Source organism: Homo sapiens, chromosome 11, assembly GCF_000001405.40.
Source record: "Homo sapiens chromosome 11, GRCh38.p14 Primary Assembly".
In the NCBI taxonomy this organism is placed as follows: domain Eukaryota; kingdom Metazoa; phylum Chordata; class Mammalia; order Primates; family Hominidae; genus Homo; species Homo sapiens.
Genome location: NC_000011.10, coordinates 62476816 through 62497332, shown reverse-complemented (window position 1 = coordinate 62497332; position 20517 = coordinate 62476816). Strand labels below are relative to the sequence as shown.

The window sequence follows — 20517 nt, the reverse complement described above, 5'->3', positions numbered from 1 at the left end:
AGCCTGCCCTTCTGCCACATCCTTTCCTGCCACATAGTGGTCATGTCCTGGAATGACGAGATGACAATGCCAATCATTCAGTCCCAGGCTGCATGGTGCACTGGCCTTTGGATTCCTCCTTTGATCAGCTCAGAACACTTTAGCAGTTGTTGGTTTTGACCTGTGCTTGGCTTTGATGATATCAGGCCCATCTTCAAACCTTTTCCTTGTACCTCAGGAATGATACCGCAGTCTGGATCCAGCCTTAATCTTTTCAAGGCCCACGCATCACTCAGTATAATATTTTCCACAGATAAGTACATTTTAAAAGGAAAAGCTTTAAGAACACTTTATATTTTATACCATTTAATTCCTTGGCAATTTTCTTCTCCCACCCACACCTTAATGTCATTTGCTCTTCTATTTTTCTCAACCTCTGTTTTCTTTTCTTTCTTTCTTTCCTTCCTTCCTTCCCTCCCTCCCTTCTTCCTTCCTTTTCCTTCCTTTCTTCCTTCCTTCCTTTCTTTCTTCTTTTTCTTTCTTTCTTTCTTTCTTGAGATGGAGTCTCCCTCCCTCTGCTGCTCAGGCTGGAGTGCAGTGATGCGATCTCGGCTCACTGCAACTGCCGCCTCCCGGGTTCAAGCAATTCTCCTGCCTCAGCCTACCGAGTAGCTGGGACTACAGGCACGCGCCACCACGCCCGGCTAACTTTTGTACTTTTAGTAGAGACAGGGTTTCACTATGTTGATCAGGCTGGTCTCGAACTCCTGACCTTGTGATCTGCCCGCCTCGGCCTCCCAAAGTGCTGGGATTACAGGTGTGAGCCACCGCTCCCGGCCAACCTGCTTTCAAGATTACATCAGAGTGGTGGCTGTGGAAGAATTTTTCTCCCTGAGAATTTTCTCTAGGCATAGTTCTTTGTTACTAACAAGATTTTCCTTCTCCCTGCTTGATGATTTCCGTACAGTTTAGACTCATAGAGTATCTTAATATTAATCTCTAGTGATTGAATTGCAACAGCACCTAGGATGGCTAGATTTCATAATGGCTTTTTCCTGAAGTTCACTTTTCAGAGGGAGCCTAGGACTTTTAAGGCAGTGTGACTTGTTTTAATGGTTTCAGATTAATTTTGTATTTGTATCAGAAAACCATTTACTTAATGATTTGATTGTTTCATTTTCTAAAGTGAATAGTAACTGAACTCGTTTCCTACTCCTTTATTTAGTCCAGCTACTATAGAATCTTTGTTTTGCTTGCTTTTAGTAATATTAACGTTATTTCTTTCTTTCTTCTTTTTTTTTTTTTGAGACAGGATCTGGCTCTGTCACCCATGCTGGAGTGCAGTGGCGCAATCTTGGCTCACTGCAGCCTCCGCCTCCTGGGATCAAGTGATCCTCCTGCTACAGCCTCCTGAGTAGCTGGGATTACAGGCATATACCACCATGCCTGGCTAATTTTTCTATTTTTAGTAGAGACGAGGTTTCATCATGTTGGCCAGGCTGGTCTCGAACTTCTGGCCTCAAATAATTCAACCGCCTTGGCTTCCCAAAGTTCTGGGATTACAGGCATGAGCCACTGCGCCTGGCATATTACTGCTATTTTTTTTTTTTTTTTTTGAGACGGAGTCTCGCTCTGTCCCCATGCTGGAGTGCAGTGGCGTGATCTCGGCTCACTGCAACCTCTGCCTCCCAGGTTCAAGTGATTCTCCTACCTCAGCTTCCCAAGTAGCTGGGACTACAGGTGCATGCCTTCATGCCCAGCTAATGTTTTTTTTTTTGTATTTTTAGAAGAGACTGGGTTTCACCACGTTGGCCAGGCTGGTCTCGATCTCCTGACCTCGTAATCTGCCTGCCTCGGCCTCCCAAAGTGCTGGGATTATAGGCATGAGTCACTGTCCCCGGCCTATTACTGTTATTTCTAAAGCACTCTAGTTTTGGCAATGAATTACAACAGGACACTGTGAGGTAATCTACATGTTTAGGTGAAAGCCATGCTTTCTATAGGATAACTTCTTATCTTGAATATACTGGCAACTTTGGCTTGGATTTTTTTTCCTTCTTTCATATTTCCTAATATATGCTATGAAACATGAATGGATGGTTTAGTGTTTAGAGTGTGGGTTTATGAACCAGGTAGTTTGGATTCAAATCTCAGCTCTGCCACTTTCTTTTTTTTTGCCCGGGTTGGGGGAGGTGGTCTCACTCTGTCACCTAGGCTAGAGTGCAGTGGTGTGATCACAGCTCACTGTAGCCTTGACTTCCCTGAGATCAGGTGATTGTCCCACCTCAGCCTCCTGAGTAGCTGGGACCACAGGCGTGTACCACCATGCCTGGCTACTTTTTTTTTTTTTTTTGAGATGGAGTTTCATTCTTGTTGCCCAGATTGGAGTGCAATGGCTCAATCTTGGCTCACTGCAACCTCCGCCTTCTGGGTTCAAGCGATTCTCGTGCCTCAGCCTCCTGAGTAGCTGAGATTACAGGCGCCCGCCATCACGCCATGCTAATTTTTGTATTTTAGTAGAGACCATGTTGGTCAGGCTGGTCTTGAACTCCTGACTTCAGGTGATCCACCTGCTTTGGCCTCCTAAAGTGCTGGGATTATAGGCGTGAGCCACTGCGCCCGGCGGTCCTGGCTAATTTTTGAATTCTTTGTGGAGACAAGGTTTCGCCATGTTGCCCAGGCTGATTTTGAACTCCTGGGCTCAAGCCATTTGCCTACCTTGGCCTCTCGAAGTGCTGGGATTACAGGTGTGAGCCATTGTGCCTGACCAGCTCTGGCTCTTTCTAGCTGTACCATCTAGGGCAAGTTATTTAAGCTCTCTGTACTTCAGTTTCTTCTTGTGTAAAACGGGGTAGTAGTAGTACTTGTCTCCAGAGTTGATGTAAGGAGTTGACATAAGGGTAAAAATCGTTTGGCATGTGGTAAGCGCCAATGTGTTTGCCATTATTATTCAATCTTTGTTTCTAAATTAAAAAAAAATTCCTTCCTTCTGTGGTTATTTGGACTTATTCTGAGTTTCATTTTATAACTAGAAACTGAACAATTGAAATAAAAAGAAGAGTCATCACATGCTGAATTTCTCAACCAAACTTTTTCTGGGAAAGACAGGATTGTTTTTGTAAAATAATTTATATCTGATTATTATTAGAATTTTAAAAATTTGTGAAGAAAGAAGAATCAGTGAGATGGGATTAATCTATGTGCAGTTTTTAAGAACCTTGGAAATTTTCATGCCATCGATTGTTAGAGAAATGCAAATATCATTCAGTTGAAAGACTCTTACACCATTCATTCATTTATTCACCACTCATTCATTCATTTATTCACCACTCATTCATTCTTTCATCACTCATCATTCATCTATCCAAGCCACAAACATTTCCAGAATGCCTGGGACACTGCTAAGCTCTCGGAGACAAAGACAAATAATTTATTGTCTCAGCATCTAGAAAACTCTAATGAAGAATTTGCTTCATTATGGGGAGGAAAAATTTAAGTGGCCCCAACAGTCCTCCTGAAAGCTCGGAACAGGGAAGATAGTTCACCTGTAAGAAGGAAGGATGAATAAGAAATTTCACCATTTGGCCCGGCCAGGTGGGTCACACCTGTAATCCTAACACTTTGGGAGGTGGAGATGGGAGGATCACTTGAGCCCAGGAGTTCAAGACCAGCCTGGTCAACATAGTGGGACCCCCCCCATCTCTTAAAAAATAAAAAAAAGGCTGGGCACGGTGGCTCACGCCTGTAATCCTAGCACTTTGGGAGGCCGAGGTGAGTGGATAACCTGAGGTCAGGAGTTTGAGACCAGCTTGGCCAAGATAGTGAAACCCCGTCTCTACTAAAAATAAGCTTAGCCACACACTTAGCTGGTGTGGTGGCACATGCCTATAATCCCAGCTACTTGGGAGGCTGAGGCAGGAGAATTGCTTGAACCCGGGAGGCAGAGGTTGCAGTGAGATTGTGCCACTGCACTCCAGCCTGGGCAACAGAGCGAGAGTCTGTCAAAAAAAAAAAAAAAAAAGAAAGAAAGAAAGAAAACAGGCCGAGCATGATGTCTTACACTTGTAATCCCAGCACTTTGTGAGGCTGAGGTGGGTGGATCATCTGAGGTCAGGAGTTCGAGACCAGCCTGGCCAACATGGTGAAACCCTGTCTCTACTAAAAATACTAAAAATTAGCTGGGCATGGTGACACACGCCTGTAATCCCAGCTACTTGGGAGGCTGAGGCAGGAGAATCCCTTGAACCTGGGAGGCTGGAGGTTGTGGTGAGCTGAGATCTGGCCACTGCCCTCCAGCCTGGGACACACAGTGAGACTCTGTCTCAAAAAAAAAAAAAAAAAAGAAAAGAAAAGAAAACAGTAGAAAGAAAATAAAAAAGAAATTTAATCTGTTTGAAACTGAAGGTCCCGATTCAATCCTTTCATGTAACCTTTGGGTTACTATCCCCTGGGGAAGAGCAATCTCCCTTTTTTTTTGAGACAGGGTCTCACTCTGTCGCCCCGGCTGGAGTGCAGTGGTGTGATCATGGCTCACTGTAGCCTTGACCTCCTGGACTCAGGCAGTCCTCCTGCCTCAGCCTCCTGAGTAGCTGGGACTACGGTTGTGTGCCACCACACCTGGCTAATTTTGTTTATTTTTTATTTTTTGTAGAGGTGGGGGTCTCACTATATTGCCCAGGCTGGTGTGGGACTCCTAGGCTCAGGTGATCCTCTTGCCTCAGCCTCTGAAAGTGCTAGGATTACAGGTGTGAGCCACTGCATCCTGCTGGGAAGAGTAATTTCCTGGGATGGTGTTAGACTTGGGCAAACACATGAAAAGAGTAACCCGTTGAAAACACTGATGGCAACCATAGTTCTCCACGAACTGGTTTCAGTGTTGCTGCCAGACGGAATCCTGCTATTGGTCAGGGAATCCCATGGCCAGGTGGGCTCTCCTTCTTGATGGGAACACTCCCCTTCCCCACAGATGGTAGCGACCTCTGATTGGAGATCTACTGTGTAAGGCATCAGGAACTCTGAGTGGAGCTGAATCTAGTGATCGGAACCCCTGCCCCGCAGTATCCAGCTTAATGCTGTTGGAGAAAAGATACCCAGAGGGCAGTAACCGATGAGTGCTGTGGTCCCACAATAAAACCCTCCTTTCTTACACATTGTTCCTCAGTGTTCAGTTGTACCTTATCTCTCTCCTTCTGTCCTTGCAAAGCCCTTGAGGAGAATGACTGGGTCTGGTGGGTGGATGAACCGGAGATAGCATTGTCCCCTTTGTGTGAGATTCCCCGGGCTTTCACAAAGGGCTGTCCTTCAGCTTAGGCCAGTTGTCTTCTAAAGATTCTCTGTTATCTTCTCTACAGCTAGAGATTCCAGGCAATGGTGGAGCTTGGGCTGGGTTGGGGTGTGTTGGGGGGTGGTAGTGGTAAACGTGGGGTCTCTGGTATTTTATACACCCATAGTAGGCATTTGAAAAGTGCTCATTGATTGGATGATTTGATGAGTGACCTGGTGATAATCTTTATCCTTGTTAGAACACACCACAGCCATCAGCACTGGAATGCAAAGACCAGAACAAACAGAAGGAAGCCAGCAGCCAAGCCGGGGCAGTTTCAGTCTCCACCCCAAATGCAGGTGAGAGAAGTGATGGGGACTGAAAGACGGATGACCTTGATTATGATAATGATACCCTTTATCACAGATGGGCATGCCTGCCTGGGCTGTGGAAGCCACACGTGGAAGGATATGGCTCAGGACCCCAGGAGCCCAGCCCCTCTTTCTCCTGGGCCTGGAAATTCAAACCCTACTCTTCTTTCAGCTTTGTGAGAAGCCCATAGGAAATGCACTTACTACAGAAGGATTACGTACTCCTTCAGAAGGAGTCTCAAGCGTTTCTTCATAGGGAGGGCTGCCGTGGAATATCCACATTCTTTTAAGACAGTACCTATTAAACCCAGAAGCCAGGGTGGGGCAGAAACCAAAGACTCAGAATTAAAGGGTTGGAATCTACTCCTAGTGGAAGATCTACCAGAGTGTAGAAAAAGTCTTTTTGATCCTCTAAAGGAAAGTCTTTTTCAGGCCTCCTAGGAGGGAGATGCCCACATGGAGGGTGAGCTGGAGGGGAAGAAGTGAGTGACTGTGGGCTATGGAAATCCTGGGTCATAGGGAGCTACGTGGAGGGGTCATTGGCTCAGTGTGGGCCGTAGCCATGTTTCTGGCCTGTACCAAAATGAAACTGTTTTTTGGAGGTAATTGCAAACATTTAAGAATCAGGAGACTGGCTGGGCATGGTGGCTCATGGTTGTAATCCAACACTTTGGGAGGCCGAGGCAGGCGGATCACTTGAGGTCAGGAGTTCAAGACCAGCCTAGCCAACATAGTGAAACCCTGTCTCTACTAGAAATATAAAAATTAGCCGGGTATGGTGGCAGGCACCTGTAATCCCAGCTACTCGGGAGGCTGAGACAGGAGAATTGCTTGAACCCAGGAGGCAGAGGTTGCCGTGAGTTGAGATTGCACCACTGCACTCCAGCCTGGGCGACGACAGAGTGATATTCCGTCCCAAAAAAACAAAACAAAACAATAAACAAAAATATGGAATGTATGGCCTCTCAACATTTTGTCATGTTCACTGAGCCCACATTCCCACATGGCAATGTCAGCTGGAGAGGACTGACTGCCGTGTCACTGGGCAAAGGGAGCTCCGCTTCCTTCTATCCGCTCCTGTGGACCCTCCTTCCTCCATCTGAGCCCCATTTTCTCCTCTCACCTCTTCCTTGCCCAGCGCTCCACCCATAGCCTGGGGTGAATGTCCGTTCAGCATATAAACAGGGACATACTCCACCTCCTTTAAAGAAAGCCTCCCAGCCTGGTGCGGTGGCTGACGCCTGTAATCCCAGCATTTTGGAAGGCGGAGGAGCAGGAGGATCACGAGGTCAGGAGTTCGAGACCAGCCTGGCCAAAACGGTGAAACCCTGTCTCTACCAAAAATACAAAATTAGCCGGGCGTGGTGGCGCACGCCTGTAATCCCAGCTACTCAGGAGGCTGAGGCAGAAGAATCGCTTAAACCCGGGAGGCGGAGGTTGCAGTGAGCTGAGATCAGGCCACTGCACTCTAGCCTGGGTGACAGAGCAAGACTCTGTCTCAAAAAAAAAAAAAAAAAAAAAAGAAAAAGAAAAGAAAGAAAGCCTCCCTCAAGCCCGAACCCCTCTTGCTGTGGTGCTATTCTTTGAGAGCCAACTGGAAAGCATTGCCTGTTCCATTCCTGTCGCCTCTTCCTCATCTTCCCTTCACTCCAGTCCCCCCACTTCCCGTTCCCAGGCTTCCACCCTGCCACTCAATACTGCTCTTGCTGATTCCACTTCATTGATATGAGTGCCCAGGGAAATCTCTGGGCACTTGGTGCTGTGCCCTCTCCTTCCATGAAACACCCTGCCCCCTCTGATTGGTGATATCGCCTTCATGTTGACGTCTGTTTGGTTAGGATGACTTTGCCCTCCCTTCCTAGGCCCTTTATGGGCTCCCCTCTTCCCACAACCTCGAAAGTGGCAGAATTTCCCAAGGACCTGTCATGGGTTTTTGTTTTTCTCACTCGGGACTCTCTCTCCGGGCAACCTCTTGGGGCTCTGTGGCTCTCAGGCCTGCTTCTCTTCCGAGCTCCAGGGCTGCACATCTGGGCTCCCCTCCACTCCCCCTCTCCCTGTCTCTCCATCCCCGTCCTTACCGTCTCTGGTCAGCTCTGCTAACCATCTGGCTACCACACCAGTCACCCACCTTCTTAACATTTCCAATGTTTTTGGTTTGTATTATTTGCTACAATCGCCTCCTAACTGTCTGCCTGTCTTAGCTCTTTTCCTCCATGGATAGACTGAGCTTAAATAGTGGTTAGTTTAAAATAAAAGAATCAAATCATGTTACTCCCCTCCTTGAAATTCTTCAGTGGCTGCTCATGGCTCTCGGGGTGAAGTTCACATCCTTGGCTCAGCACCCAAAGATGCCATGGCTCAGCTCTTGGCTCAGCCCGCACCACTTCCCATGTGGGCTTTTCACTCCAGCAACACCCTAGTGCTGGTCCCCACATCCATGATGCCGGTCTATGCTCCTATGTCTTTTTTTTTTTTTTTTGAGATGGAGTCTCACTCTGTGACCCAGGCTGGAATGCAGTGGCGTGATATCAACTCACTGCAACCTCCACCTCCCGCGTTCAAGCAATCCTCCTGCCTCAGCCTCCTGAGTAATTGGGATTACAGGCATGCACCACAATGTCCAGCTAATTTTTTTGTATTTTTAGTAGAGATGAGGTTTCACCATATTGGCCAGGCTGGTCTTGAACTCCTGACCTTGTGATCCACCCGCCTGGGCCTCCCAAAGTGCTGGGATTACAGGTGTGAGCCACCGCGCTGGGCCGCTCCTGTGTCTTTATTGTGCTCTTCCAAACCCCTCTGCCCCCTGTCTTCCTGGGCCTTTGAACCACCACTCCAGGCCCACCTGAGCCTCCAAGTCTGGGCTCAGGGCCCCTTCTCTGTGCTCTCCCATGCTGCCCAGGCATCCCTGTTTTGGCTCCCCTGGTGCTGGGCCTCCACTAGACTTCACACTCAGTAGGGCCCAGGAGGATCTACAGCACAGTCTGCATGGAATATAAACTAGACAGATGGGCTGGGCACTGTGGCTCATACCTGTAATCCCAGCACTTTGGGAGGCCGAGGTGGGTGGATCACCTGAGGCCAGGAGGTTGAGAGCAGCCTGGCCAACACAGCAAAATCCTGTCTCTACTGAAAATACAAAAAAAAAAAAAAAAAATTAGCTGGGCATGGTGGGCGCCTGTAATCCCAGCTAATCAGGAGGCTGAGGCAGGAGAATTGCTTGAACCCAGGGGGCGGAGGCTGCAGTGAACTGGGATCGCGCCATTGCACTCCAGCCTGGGCAACAGGAGCGAAACTCCGTCTTGGAAAAAAAAAAAAAAGCTAGACAGATGATGGCAAGCTCCGCTGGCTGGCTTCCCAGTGCTTACATGGTGGCCATTTCTCTATTGCTCTTTGGGGACTGGGTTCTAGTGTTTGTGTTGCCAAATGCAGCACTTTTTGTTGTACACTTTACTTCAACATTGATTAAATTAAATGTCTCGGGATTTCAAGGGAATTGGGATTTGACCCCTTTTCTCAAAGGACTTGTACACTGGGTGCATAATGTCTGTTCATTCAATGAACGTTTATTTACTGAGCACCTTTGCAGAGCCAGGCACGGAAGGTGGCAGAATTAAAGCAGCCAGTCACAGGGATTCAGAGAAAGTCTGTGGAGCTTAGAGGAACTTCCGTGGCTTTTCATCTTCTCATGCCTTGGTTTAAAGTACAGGAGAAAGATTATAGTTCTCCTTGCCAGAGACGCCTCTTTCCCCTGATCATGGATGTTTCCTTAGAAACCAACTTGCGTGTCCCCCACTTTCATGGGCTTTGAAGCTGGAGTCTTGTGTAAACATCACTTCACGGGCATGTGAGAAACAAGCCTTTCCTGTCCCCGCCGTGAGCCTCCAGCTTTCTCTAAGTCGACTTCTCAAGGGGGTACTGCTGTTTCTTTTAATATCAAAAAACCCGTTTGAACATTACATGGTTTTCTCACGGTAACACTTCAGTCAGCTGCATACAGGGTCATTTTGGTAAATAAGTGGAAAATCAGAGAAGTATTGCTGGACTTGAAGACAAGTCTGTGCAGTTGAGAGCAGCAGAGCTTTTGAATCAAGACATCATGGGAGGTTGAGGCAGGTGAATCGCTTGAACCCGGGAGGGGGAGGTTGCAGTGAGCCGAGACTGCGCCACCGGCGACAGTGCGAGACTCCGTCTCAAAAAAAAAAGACACTTACGCTGTGTCCTAAATGTTGAAGGCGGTTTTGAGGGGTGAGGTGCTGGAGAGTTGAAGCTACAAACAGAAACCTATAAACTCATTGTGTTGGATGTCATACTGTCCTGCCTTACGCCACATACCCTCATGGTTAGGAGCTCTGCTCAGAAACTGGACTGCCTGGGTTCAAATCCTGTCTTTGCTACTCTACGTTGGGGCATGTTCCAGTTTTTCTTTCATCTGTGAGATCAGGATGATAACATCCCTTAGATGGTGGTTGTGAAGATAAAGCGAACTATTGCCTGGGCAGCGTTTATAGTGGTGCCTGACATACAGTAAGTGCTTAATAAACGTTAGCTGTTGTAATTATACCCCTTTATCAGCTTCACACTGGACTGGTCACCTAAGCTGTCACCAGACGTCCCGCACCACTGGTGGTCCACAATGTTTCTGTTCTGTTGTTTCAAACCCCTTAGCTCATTTTGCTTCTCTGACCATCTTATTCCAGTCCTCTCCTCTTTCACGATGTTCTCTGGTCTGGAATAGGCGTCTATTTGGAGTCTGCCGCTCCTTACTCAGTGAACCCTCTCTCTCTATTCTGAAGCCCTCTTGGTGGGATGGGGGCAGATATTCCTGTACTCACAGCTAACCATGGGAAAACTCTAGGGTAATTTTTCATTTGAGCTTGTGTTTATAAACCTCTAAAACCTCATAGGACCCTTGCCAGTGGGCCAATCTGTGAGTTCTCCATCTATGTAAAGAAAAAAAAAAACTGGTGGTAAAATAGACATAACATAAAATTGACCATTTTAACCATTTTTAGGTGTACAGCTCAGTGGTATACAGTACATCTACATTACGGTGGAACCATCTCCACTGTGCAGCTCCAGAACTTTCTCATCTTCCCCAATTGAAACGCTGTAGCCATTCAACACTAATTCTCCAGCCCCCGGCAACCACCATGCTCCCTCCCTCCCTCCCTCCCTCCCTTCCTTCCTTCCTTCTTTCCTTTCTTCCTTCCTTCCTTTCTTCTTTTCTTTCTTTTTTTTGAGACAGAGTTTCGGAGTTTAGCTCTTGTTGCCCAGGCTGGAGTAAAATGGCACAATCTTGGCTCACCGCAACGTCCGCCTCCTGGGTTCAAGCGATTCTCCTGCCTCAGCCTCCCAAGTAGCTGGGATTACAGGCATGTGCTACCCCGCCTGCTAATTTTGTATTTTTAGTAGAGATGGGGTTTCTCCATGTTGGTCAGGCTGGTCTCGAACTCCTGACCGCAGGTGATCCACCCACCTCGGCCTCCCAAAGTGCTGGGATTACAGGCGTGAGCCACCATGCCTGGCTGCTACTTTCTGACTGTATGAATTTGACTACTCTAGGTACCTCATATAAGTGGAATGACACAGTATTTGTCCTCTTCTGTCTAGCTTACTTCACTTTCAGGGTTCATCTATGTTATATTTTGTGTTAGAATTTCATTTCATTTCTCTCTCTCTCTTTTTTTTTTTTTTTTTTTGAGACAAAGTCTTGCTTTGTCACCCAGGCTGGAGTGCAGTGGTGCAATCTCGGCTCACTGCAACCTCCGCCTCCCAGGTTCAAGTGATTCCCCTGCCTCAGCCTCCTGAGTAGTTGGGACTACAGGTATATGTCACAATGTCTGGCTAATTTTTTGTTATTTTTTAGCAGAGATGAGGATTTCACTATGTTGGCCAGGCTGGTCTTGAATTCCTGACCTCAGGTGTCACCACCTGCCTTGGCCTCCCAAAATGCTGAGATTACAGGCATGAGCCACCACTCCCGGCCTTCTGTTATTCTTTTTTTTTTTTTTTTTTTTTGAGATGGAGTCTTGCTGTATTGCCCAGGCTGGAGTGCAGTGGTGCAATCTCGGCTCACTGTAACCTCTGCCTCCCAGGTTTGAGCGATTCTCCTGCCTCAGCCTCCTGAGTAGCTGGGACTACAGGCTCCTGCCACCATGCCCAGCTAATTTTTTGTATTTTTAGTAGAGACGGGGTTTCACCGTGTTAGCCAGGATGGTCTCGATCTCCTGACCTTGTGATCCGCCCGCCTCGGACTCCCAAAGTGCTGGGATTATAGGTGTGAGCCACCGCGCCCAGCAAGATTGATCCTTTTTGTTTTGTTTTGTTTTTGACAGGGTCTCACTCTGTGACCCAAGCTGGAGTATACTGTTGGGATTACGTCTCACTGTAGCCTCAAACTCCTGGGCTCAAGCACTCCTCCCACCTCAGCCGCCCCAGTACAGGCATGCATCACCATGCCTGACTAATTTTTAAAATTATTTGTAAATAGGCAGGGTCTCACTATGGTGCCCAGACTGGTCTTGAATTCCTAGGCTCAAACGATCCTCCCGCTTTGGCCTCTCAAAGTGCTGGGGTTACAGATGTGAGCCACTGCTCCCGGCCAATTAATCTTTTTGAAACCTAAGTCAAAGGCCAGGCACGGTGGCTCACGCCTGTAATCCCAGCACTTTGGGAGGCCGAGGCAGGCAGATCACCTGAGGTCAGGAGTTCGAGACCAGCCTGGCCAACATGGAGAAACCCCGTCTCTACTAAAAATACAAAATTAGCCGGGTGTGGTGGCGCGTGCCTGTAATCCCAGCTACCCTGGAGGCTGAGGCAAGAGAATCGCCTGAACCCGGGAGGCGGAGGTTGTGGTGAGCTGAGATCACGCAATTGCACTCCAGCCTGGGCAACAAGAGCGAAACTCTGTCTCAAAAACAAAACAAAACAAAACAGAACAAAACAAAACAAAACCTAAGTCAAGTATTGCCATGCCTCACTCATGACCTTCCGTGGCTCCCCATCTCACTCGGAAGCATGCTTAAGTGCTCGTGGTAGCGTAGAGGCTTCCATACCACCTGGCCCTCACTGCTCTTCAGACCCCATCTTTTCCTCCCTCATGGAGCTCTGGCCACAGGGGCTCCTTGCTGTTCCTTGATCTGGCAGCCAAGCTTCCATCCCAGGGTTTTTGTATTTGCTGTGAACTATGCTTGGAATGTTCTTCCCCTTGACAAAGTCTTCCCCTTATAATGTCACCTCGCAAGAGATCTTCTCTGACACCTTACATAAAGTAGCAAGCCCTCCTTCCCCTGACCTATGGCGTCTCTCTTGTTATTTATTTATTTATTTATTCAGAGACAGGGTCTCACTCTGTCACCCAGGCTGTAGTGTGGTGGCATGATCATAGCTCACTGCAGCCTCCAACTCTTGGGCTCAAGTGATCCTCCTGCCTCAGCCTCCAGAGTAGCTAAGACTACCTACCGGTGTGTGCTACCATGCCCAGCTAATTAAAAAAAAATTTTTTTTGTAGAAATGGGGTTTCACTACGTTTTTCAGACTGGTCTTGAGCTCTTGGTCTCAAGTGATCCTCCTGCCTCAGCCTCCCAAAGCATTGGGATTATGGGTGTGAGCCATTGCACCCAGCCATCCCTTCTTTTGAACACTGCTCTATGCATGCCCTTTCTTTTTTTTTTTTTTTTTTTTGAGATGGAGTCTCGCTCTGTTGCCCAGGCTGGAGTGCAGTGGTGCGATCTCGGCTCACTGCAAGCTCCACCTCCTGGGTTCACACCATTCTCCTGCCTCAGCCTCCGGAGTAGCTGGGACTACAGGCGCCCGCCACCGCGCCTGGCTAATTTTTTGTAGTTTGTTTTTTTTTTTTTTTGAGATGGAGTCTTGCTCTGTCGCCCAGGCTGGAGTGCAGTGGCACAATCTTGGCTCACTGCAAGCTCTGCCTCCCAGGTTCACGCCATTCTCCTGCCTCAGCCTCTGGAGTAGCTGGGACTACAGGTGCCAGCCACCACGCCTGGCTATTTTTTTTGTATTTTTAGTAGAGACAGGGTTTCACCGTGTTAGCCAGGATGGTCTCGATCTCCTGACCTCATGATCCGCCTGCCTCGGCCTCCCAAAGCGCTGGGATTACAGGCGTGAGCCACCGCGCCTGGCTGTAGTTTTTTTTTTAGTAGAGACGGGGTTTCACCGTGTTAGCCAGGATGGTCTCGATCTCCTGACCTCGTGATCCGCCCGCCTCGGCCTCCCAGAGTGCTGGGATTACAGGCGCGAGCCACCGCGCCCGGCCCGCCCTTTCTTGATCTATGTAGAGAGTGTTGTGTAGATCATTTTGGCACAGGACAGAATTTCAGAACTGGATGATTTGTTAGTGATCCTCTGTTTCCACCAGTTCTCTTCAAATTAAAGCTGAAGGAATGGAGGCCAGAAAAGGCTGAGTGGCCCCCGACTCCCGTATCATCCTGAGCTCTGAACTGATTGATTCATGAGCCTGCAGCATTCTTCTGGTAAAGCAGAAGGCCTGCAGCCCACCCTACCCCGATGCTGTTGCCACGTAGCGTCCCTTGGGCCCTGGGCCTTCGGGGTCTTCTGTCACTCGGCTGCTGTTCACTTTCAGGAGGAACAGATGCTGGTGGAGTTTCCCACCTCTGACCAGGTCACTCTCCAGGCAGTGCTTCTTGGTGTGAAACCATGTCGTTCAAATGATTGTCCTTTTGGTGTTCAAATGACCATCCTGTGGACGTTTTTGTGTGTCTTTGTGTTCCTGATAGTTTGCCCTGTCTTTTTCCTCCTAGGCCTCTTAAGGGTTAAATTATACCAGGAGGAAGCAGGGCCAGTTCTCCTGCTTATTCTGCACATTACGAATGAGGAATATTTTACATTCATGAATAAGCTATTGCTTATCGATGCTACGATTACAGATAAAATGTTCCTGTTCCTCTTTGCTACACATGAAATTGCAGTGAGCAGTACAAGATGAATTTGACAGGTGTGGTCTCTACCATGCTAGATGGAGACATTCTGGGGAAAAGAGTATGAGGGAGGGATGGCATGCTCAGGTAACAGTAAGCACTCACCCTCTGAGGTGCTTTCTATGTGTCGGGCATGGCGTAAATGCTTTATGTGATGTCATTTATTTCATCCTCACGGTAGCTCTCGTGAGTAGGTGCAATTATATCCCGATTTGGCAGTGGAGGAATCTGAGGCACAGAAGGATTAGGTAATTTGCCCAAAGTCATTGAGAGAACGGAAGGGCAAAGCCAGTATTTGAACCCAGGGGGGCTCCAGAGTCCTTTCTGTTAAATACTACATTTTTTTTTTTGAGACAGTCTCGCTCTGTCACTTAGGCTGGAGTGCAGTGGCGCGATCTCAGCTCACTGCAACCTTTGCCTCCTGGGCTCAAATGATTCTCCTGCCTCAGCTTCCTGAGTAGCTGGAACTACAGGCACGCACCACCACGCCCGGATAAATTTTGTATTTTTAGTAGAGATGGGGTTTCCCCATGTTGGCCAGGATGGTCTCGAACTCCGGGCCTCAAGTGAGCAGTCCGCCTTGGGCTCCCAAAGTGCTGGGATTACAGATGTGAGCCACTGCACCCGGCCTAAATACATCTTGATGAAGGTTTCATGGAGGAAGAGAGATATGAGCTGGGCCTTGAAGGAGAGCTCCACATGTAGACAACATGAGTGACGGGCCAGGGATGGAGTGAGCATGGCTGACCCAGCAGGGAAGAGAGACTGACCTCACCCGACACAGGGCATGCATTGGGGAATGGTGGGGGAGATGGGGCAAGAGGGCGGAGATGGATCGTAAAAGGTCTTAACATCAAGGCAGAGGGTTGAAGAACTCAGACTTTAAAGAGTATTGAAGGGCCAGGCGCGGTGGTTCACGCCTGTAATCCCAGCACTTTGGGAGGCCGAGGTGGGTCGATCACGAGGTCAGGAGATCGAGACCACGGTGAAACCCCGTCTCTACTAAAAATACAAAAAATTAGCCAGGCATGGTGGTGGGCACTTGTAGTCCCAGCTACTCAAGAGGCTGAGGCAGGAGAATGGCATAAACCCGGGAGGCGGAGCTTGCAGTGAGCCAAGATCGTGTCACTGCACTCCAGCCTAGGAGAAAGAGCGAGACTCAGTCTCTAAATAAATAAATAAATAAATAAATAAAAAATAAAGAGTATTGAAGGGTGACTTGCTAGAAGCTGAGGTCTAGGGAGGTTTTTGGGTAGCAATGGTAGGTTTGAGGGTGGGAGGTGTGGAGGCAGGGACGAGACCCTGAGGGTCCAGACAAAGATGGTGCAAGGGAAATGGAAGAAAGGGGAAGCCCAAGGCCAGGTACAGTGGCTCACTCCTGTAGTCCCAGCACTCTGGGAGGCCGAGGTGGGTGGATTACCTGAGATCAGGAGTTCAGGACCAGCCTGGCCAAAATGGTGAAACTCTGTCTCTACTAAAAAATACAAAAATTAGCTGGGTGCAGTGGTGGGCACCTGTAATCCCAGCTACTCGGGAGGTTGAGACAGGAGAACTGCTTGAACTCGGGAGGCAGAGGTTGCAGTGAGCCGTGACTGCGCCACTGCACTCCAGTCTGGGCAACAAGTGCGAAACTCTGTCTCAAAAAAACAAAAAAAAAACCAAAAAAAAAAAAACCAAAAAAAGAAAAGAGAAGCCCATAGCACCTTCCTTCTCATCCAAGTCATCTCCTGGAGAGGGATCAGCCCAGGAGCTACAGGAGCGCCTCGGGTTTCATCGGTTACTCACAGGAGGCAGCCTCTGGGCTTTTGGGGGAAGGTCGAGGACATTATTTACTGAGGTCTGTTTTCCTGTGGATGGCTGTTCCTGCCTAGGCAACGAGCATTTCTTCACGCTGCGCATTCCAACTTGGTCAGACCAGAAGGCAGCAAATCCAGGTTTTTTTTTTTTTTTTTTTTTTTTAACTGCACGCAGAATTCCTTGCATAGCAGAGAGCTCAGGAAGGAAGGCCCTGTTTGGGGACAGAGGTCAGGGTTTCAGAGTCCAGGACCACTGAGAAAGAGTCAGGCCTTTCTTTTTTTTCTTTTCTTTTCTTTTCTTTTTTTGAGATAGAGTCTTGCTCTGTCACCCAGGCTGGAGTGCAATGGCGCAATCTCGGCTCACTGCAACCTCCACCTCCCGGGTTCAAGCGATTCTCCTGCTTCAACCTCCCACGTAGCTGGGATTACAGGCACCCGCCACCGTGCCCGGCTAATTTTTGTATTTTTTAGTAGAGACGGGGTTTCACCATCTTGGCCAGGCGGATCTTGAACTCCCGACCTTGTGATCCACCCACCTCGGCCTCCCAAAGTGCTGGGATTACAGGCGTGAGTCACTGTGCCTGGCAAAGTCAGGCCTTTCTCTGTTAATCTCAGGTTTGCCTGATTAGCCTCTGAATGGATGTACCTGGAGTGAACTCTGTCACAAGCAGAAATTTAATTTAACCCTTGAGATTTATTTCCTCCCACCCCTAAAGTATCAACTGCTAAAGGGATTTAGAAAGGATCCGAGGCAAGATTGGCAGGGCTGAGGGTTCTGTGGCTGTCACTGTCCAGGACAGCTGGCCACTGGGTCCAGCCTGCTCCCAGCAGTGGGCACAGGCAGGGGAGCAGGGCCCTGACCTTCCTGGCAGGTGGCAGGGTCCGGGTGAGGCTTCCCAAGCTCTGCCTGCTACCCTCCTGCTTGAAATCAGGGGTGAGGGGTGTGAGGCCCTCCTATAAATCCGGCAGAACCCAGCCAGAAGGAGCACTGGGACCTCATCTCCCTCCCCTCTGGATTCCAGCTCCCCGGAATGGGCCAAGTTTGCCTTAACTTTTTATTGAAGTGAAAAACAGTCAAGATATGAATATTCCCTAAAGCCACTTTGGAATACTTTCAAGAATAGTTTCACAGTTAAACAGGCAAAAGGACAAGATTGCATGCAGGAATGGATCACCCACTTGGAGAGCCGGTTCTGGAAAGAGAGCTTTGATTTCATGCCTTATCTGTTTCGTGCGTCGTGGAAGAAGGGAATGGAAGGCATTTGGTTGGGGAGATGGAGACCTGCTGCTTGTATGGGGTATTCCCCTCTGCATGGTGACAGGTTCTTAGGGAAACATCTTAATAGAAGGCTTATGAGCAGTCTGGCAAACTTCCCACCCTCCTTGTACCCAAGACAAAAATGTTGGCCTGACAAAAATATTCAGGTAATTTTCTAGTATTTTTAGCACTTCGCAGACCCCAAACTACCCAAGTAATGGCTCTCTTAAAAAAAAAAAAGGGGCTGGGCAGGGTAGCTCACGCCCGTAATCCCAGTACTTTGGGAGGCTGAGGTAGACGGATCACCTGAGGTCAGGAGTTCGAGATCAGCCTGACCAACGTGGAGAAACCCTGTCTCCATTAAAAATACAAAATTAGCCAGACGTGGTGGTGCATGCCTGTAATCCCAGCTACTCGGGAGGCCGAGGCAGGAAAATCACTTGAACCTGGGAGGCAGAGGTTGCAGTGAGCCGAGATCGTGCCATTGTACCCCAACCTGGGTAACAAGAGGGAAACTCCGTATCAAAAAAAAAAAAAAAAAGAAAAAAGAAAAAAAAAGAAAAGAAAGCAAAGCTCTTAGAAAAGTTGTCCTACTATCTTATTACAATAAGTGCTGAAGTAGACAGACTCTGTCATCTTAACTGTGTCAACATTAATGAAAAGAAATTAGCCGAGCGCAGTGGCATGTGTCTGTAGTTCCAGCTACTCAGGAGGCTGAGGCAGGAGAATCACTTGAATCCAGGAGGCGGAGGTTGTAGTGAGCTGAGATTGCGCCACTGTACTCCAGCCTGGGAGACAGAGCAAGACTCTGTTTTAGAAACAAACAAACAAACAAAAAAAATTAGTGAAACAGTGTCATCAAAGGCCTAGGAGGGATTTTTTTAATGGTGTATTAATGGTGTACATTTTCCTCTTTTGCTCTTTTCTTTTCTCTCTCTTTTTTTTTTTTTTTTTTTTTGAGGCAGGGTCTCATTCTGTCACCCAGGCTGGAGTGCAGTGGTATGATCACGGCTCACTGCAGGAGGATCGATCTCCTGGGTTCAAGCGATCCTCGCACCTCAGTCTCCTGAGTAGCTAGGACCACAGGCGTGTGCCACCATGCCCAGCTAATTTTTGTCGTTGTTGTTGTAGAGATGAGGTCTTGCCGTGTTGCCTAGGTTGGTCAGGAACTCCTGGGCTCAAGCAATCTCCATCTCCAAGCCCCAACCTTGGCCTCCCAAACTGCTGGGATTGCAGGAGTGAGCCACCGGCACCCGGCACCCTGTCCTGTTTTCTAGGCATTGCTAGGGGCAATAATTTGGGAGAAGTAAAGGACAAGAACAAAATCAAAGAAGAGGCATTCTTGTATCATTGCTCTCCTGAATTTGTTGGGGAGCCCTGGGGTGAGCCCTGTCAGGGGCTGGAGGGTCCAGTCTTAGTGTGAAAAGACCTCAGGGGCTCAGCCCCAGCTCCTGCTTAGCCCCTGGGCCCTAGCTGAGAAGAAGAGCGAATGTGTGTGCTGACCAGACCTGACCAGATCTGCTGGGTGAGGCTGCGGGTGGTGGTGAGAGGCCATTCTAAGAAACCACCTGGAATAGTGGGGGAGGAGATGGGAGGCCAGGGGCTCTGCTCTTAAGATAGCACTGAGTCCTGCGGAGAGGAATTCCTGGGAGGATTTTGAGTCCACCTGACTTCCCTTTGCTCTTGGTGTACAGGTCCCGGGCTTCACCACCCTGGCCTTCTTTCGCTTCCTCAAATGTTCCAGAGGCCTCTGTACCTATACACATGTTACTCCTTGGCCAGGAAGGCCCCCCATCCCCTAAGCCAATTATCTTCCAGGTTTCTGCACAACCATCACCACCTCTGGAAAGCCTTGGCCCAGGGCTTGACTGGGATCCCCCTGCTTTTTATAACTTTTTTTTTTTTTTGAGATGGAGTTTCACTCTTTTGCCTAGGCTGGAGTGCAGTGGCGCGGTCTCAGCTCACTGCAACCTCCGCCTCCCGGGTTCAAGTGATTCTCCTGCCTCAGCCTCCCTAGTAGCTGGGACTACAGGCGCCGGCCACCATGCCTGGCTAATTTTTGTTATTTTTAGTACAGAGGGGTTTCACCATGTTGGCCAGGCTGGTCTCGAACTCCTGACCTGTGATCTGCCCGCCTTGGCCTCCCAAAGTGCTGGGATTACAGGCGTGAGCCACGGCACTTGCCCTATAACTTTTATTTTAGGTTCGGGGGTGCATGTGAATGTTTGCTACATAGGTACACTCATGACACGGGGCTTGTTGTACAGGTTATTTCATCACCCAGGAATTAAGTTCAGTACCCAATAGTTATCTTTTCTGCTTCTCTCTCTCCTCCTCCCACCCTCCACCCTCAAGTATTGGTGCAAAAATAATTGCGGCTTCAGACCATGTATTTGAAATCATTATAACTAGGCTCAAACACATCTTTATTAACCAAAATAGGAAGCGTTACAATCAACACATTTTTGCTAATGAGAAATAAGTTTTTTCATTCCTGTAGCATATAAATCCATGCTTCGGGATTCGACGAACTCTTAGAAAGCATTTTCTGCATCCTGCTGGTTGTGGAAGCGTTTTCCCTGCAAAAAGTTGTCGAGATGCCTGAAGAAGTGGTAGTCAGTTGGCGAGAGGTCAAGTGAATATGGCAGAGGAGGCAAAACTTCGTAGTACAATTCGTTCAACTTTTGAAGTGTTGTGTGACATGCGGTCGGGCATTGTCATGGAGAAGAATTGGGTGATTTCTGCAACCAATGCCGGCTGCAGGCATTGCAGTTTTTGGTGCATCTCATCAATTTGCTGAGCATATATCTTAAATGTAATGGTTTTGCCAGGATTCAGAAAGCTGTAGTGGATCAGACTGGCAGCAGACCACCAGTGACCATGACCTTCTTTT

At 48.4% G+C, this 20517-nt stretch overlaps 1 protein-coding gene across 1 annotated transcript in view; it reads left to right on the top strand.

Annotated features, from left to right (window-relative positions):
- AHNAK (AHNAK nucleoprotein) overlaps nt 1-20517 on the top strand; it is a 113263-nt gene that overhangs the window by 49474 nt on the left and 43272 nt on the right. Inside the window, exon 5 of the mRNA NM_024060.4 lies at nt 5502-5601. Within this exon, the coding sequence (NP_076965.2) occupies nt 5502-5601 (100 nt within the window). The remainder of the gene's footprint in view (nt 1-5501; nt 5602-20517) is intronic.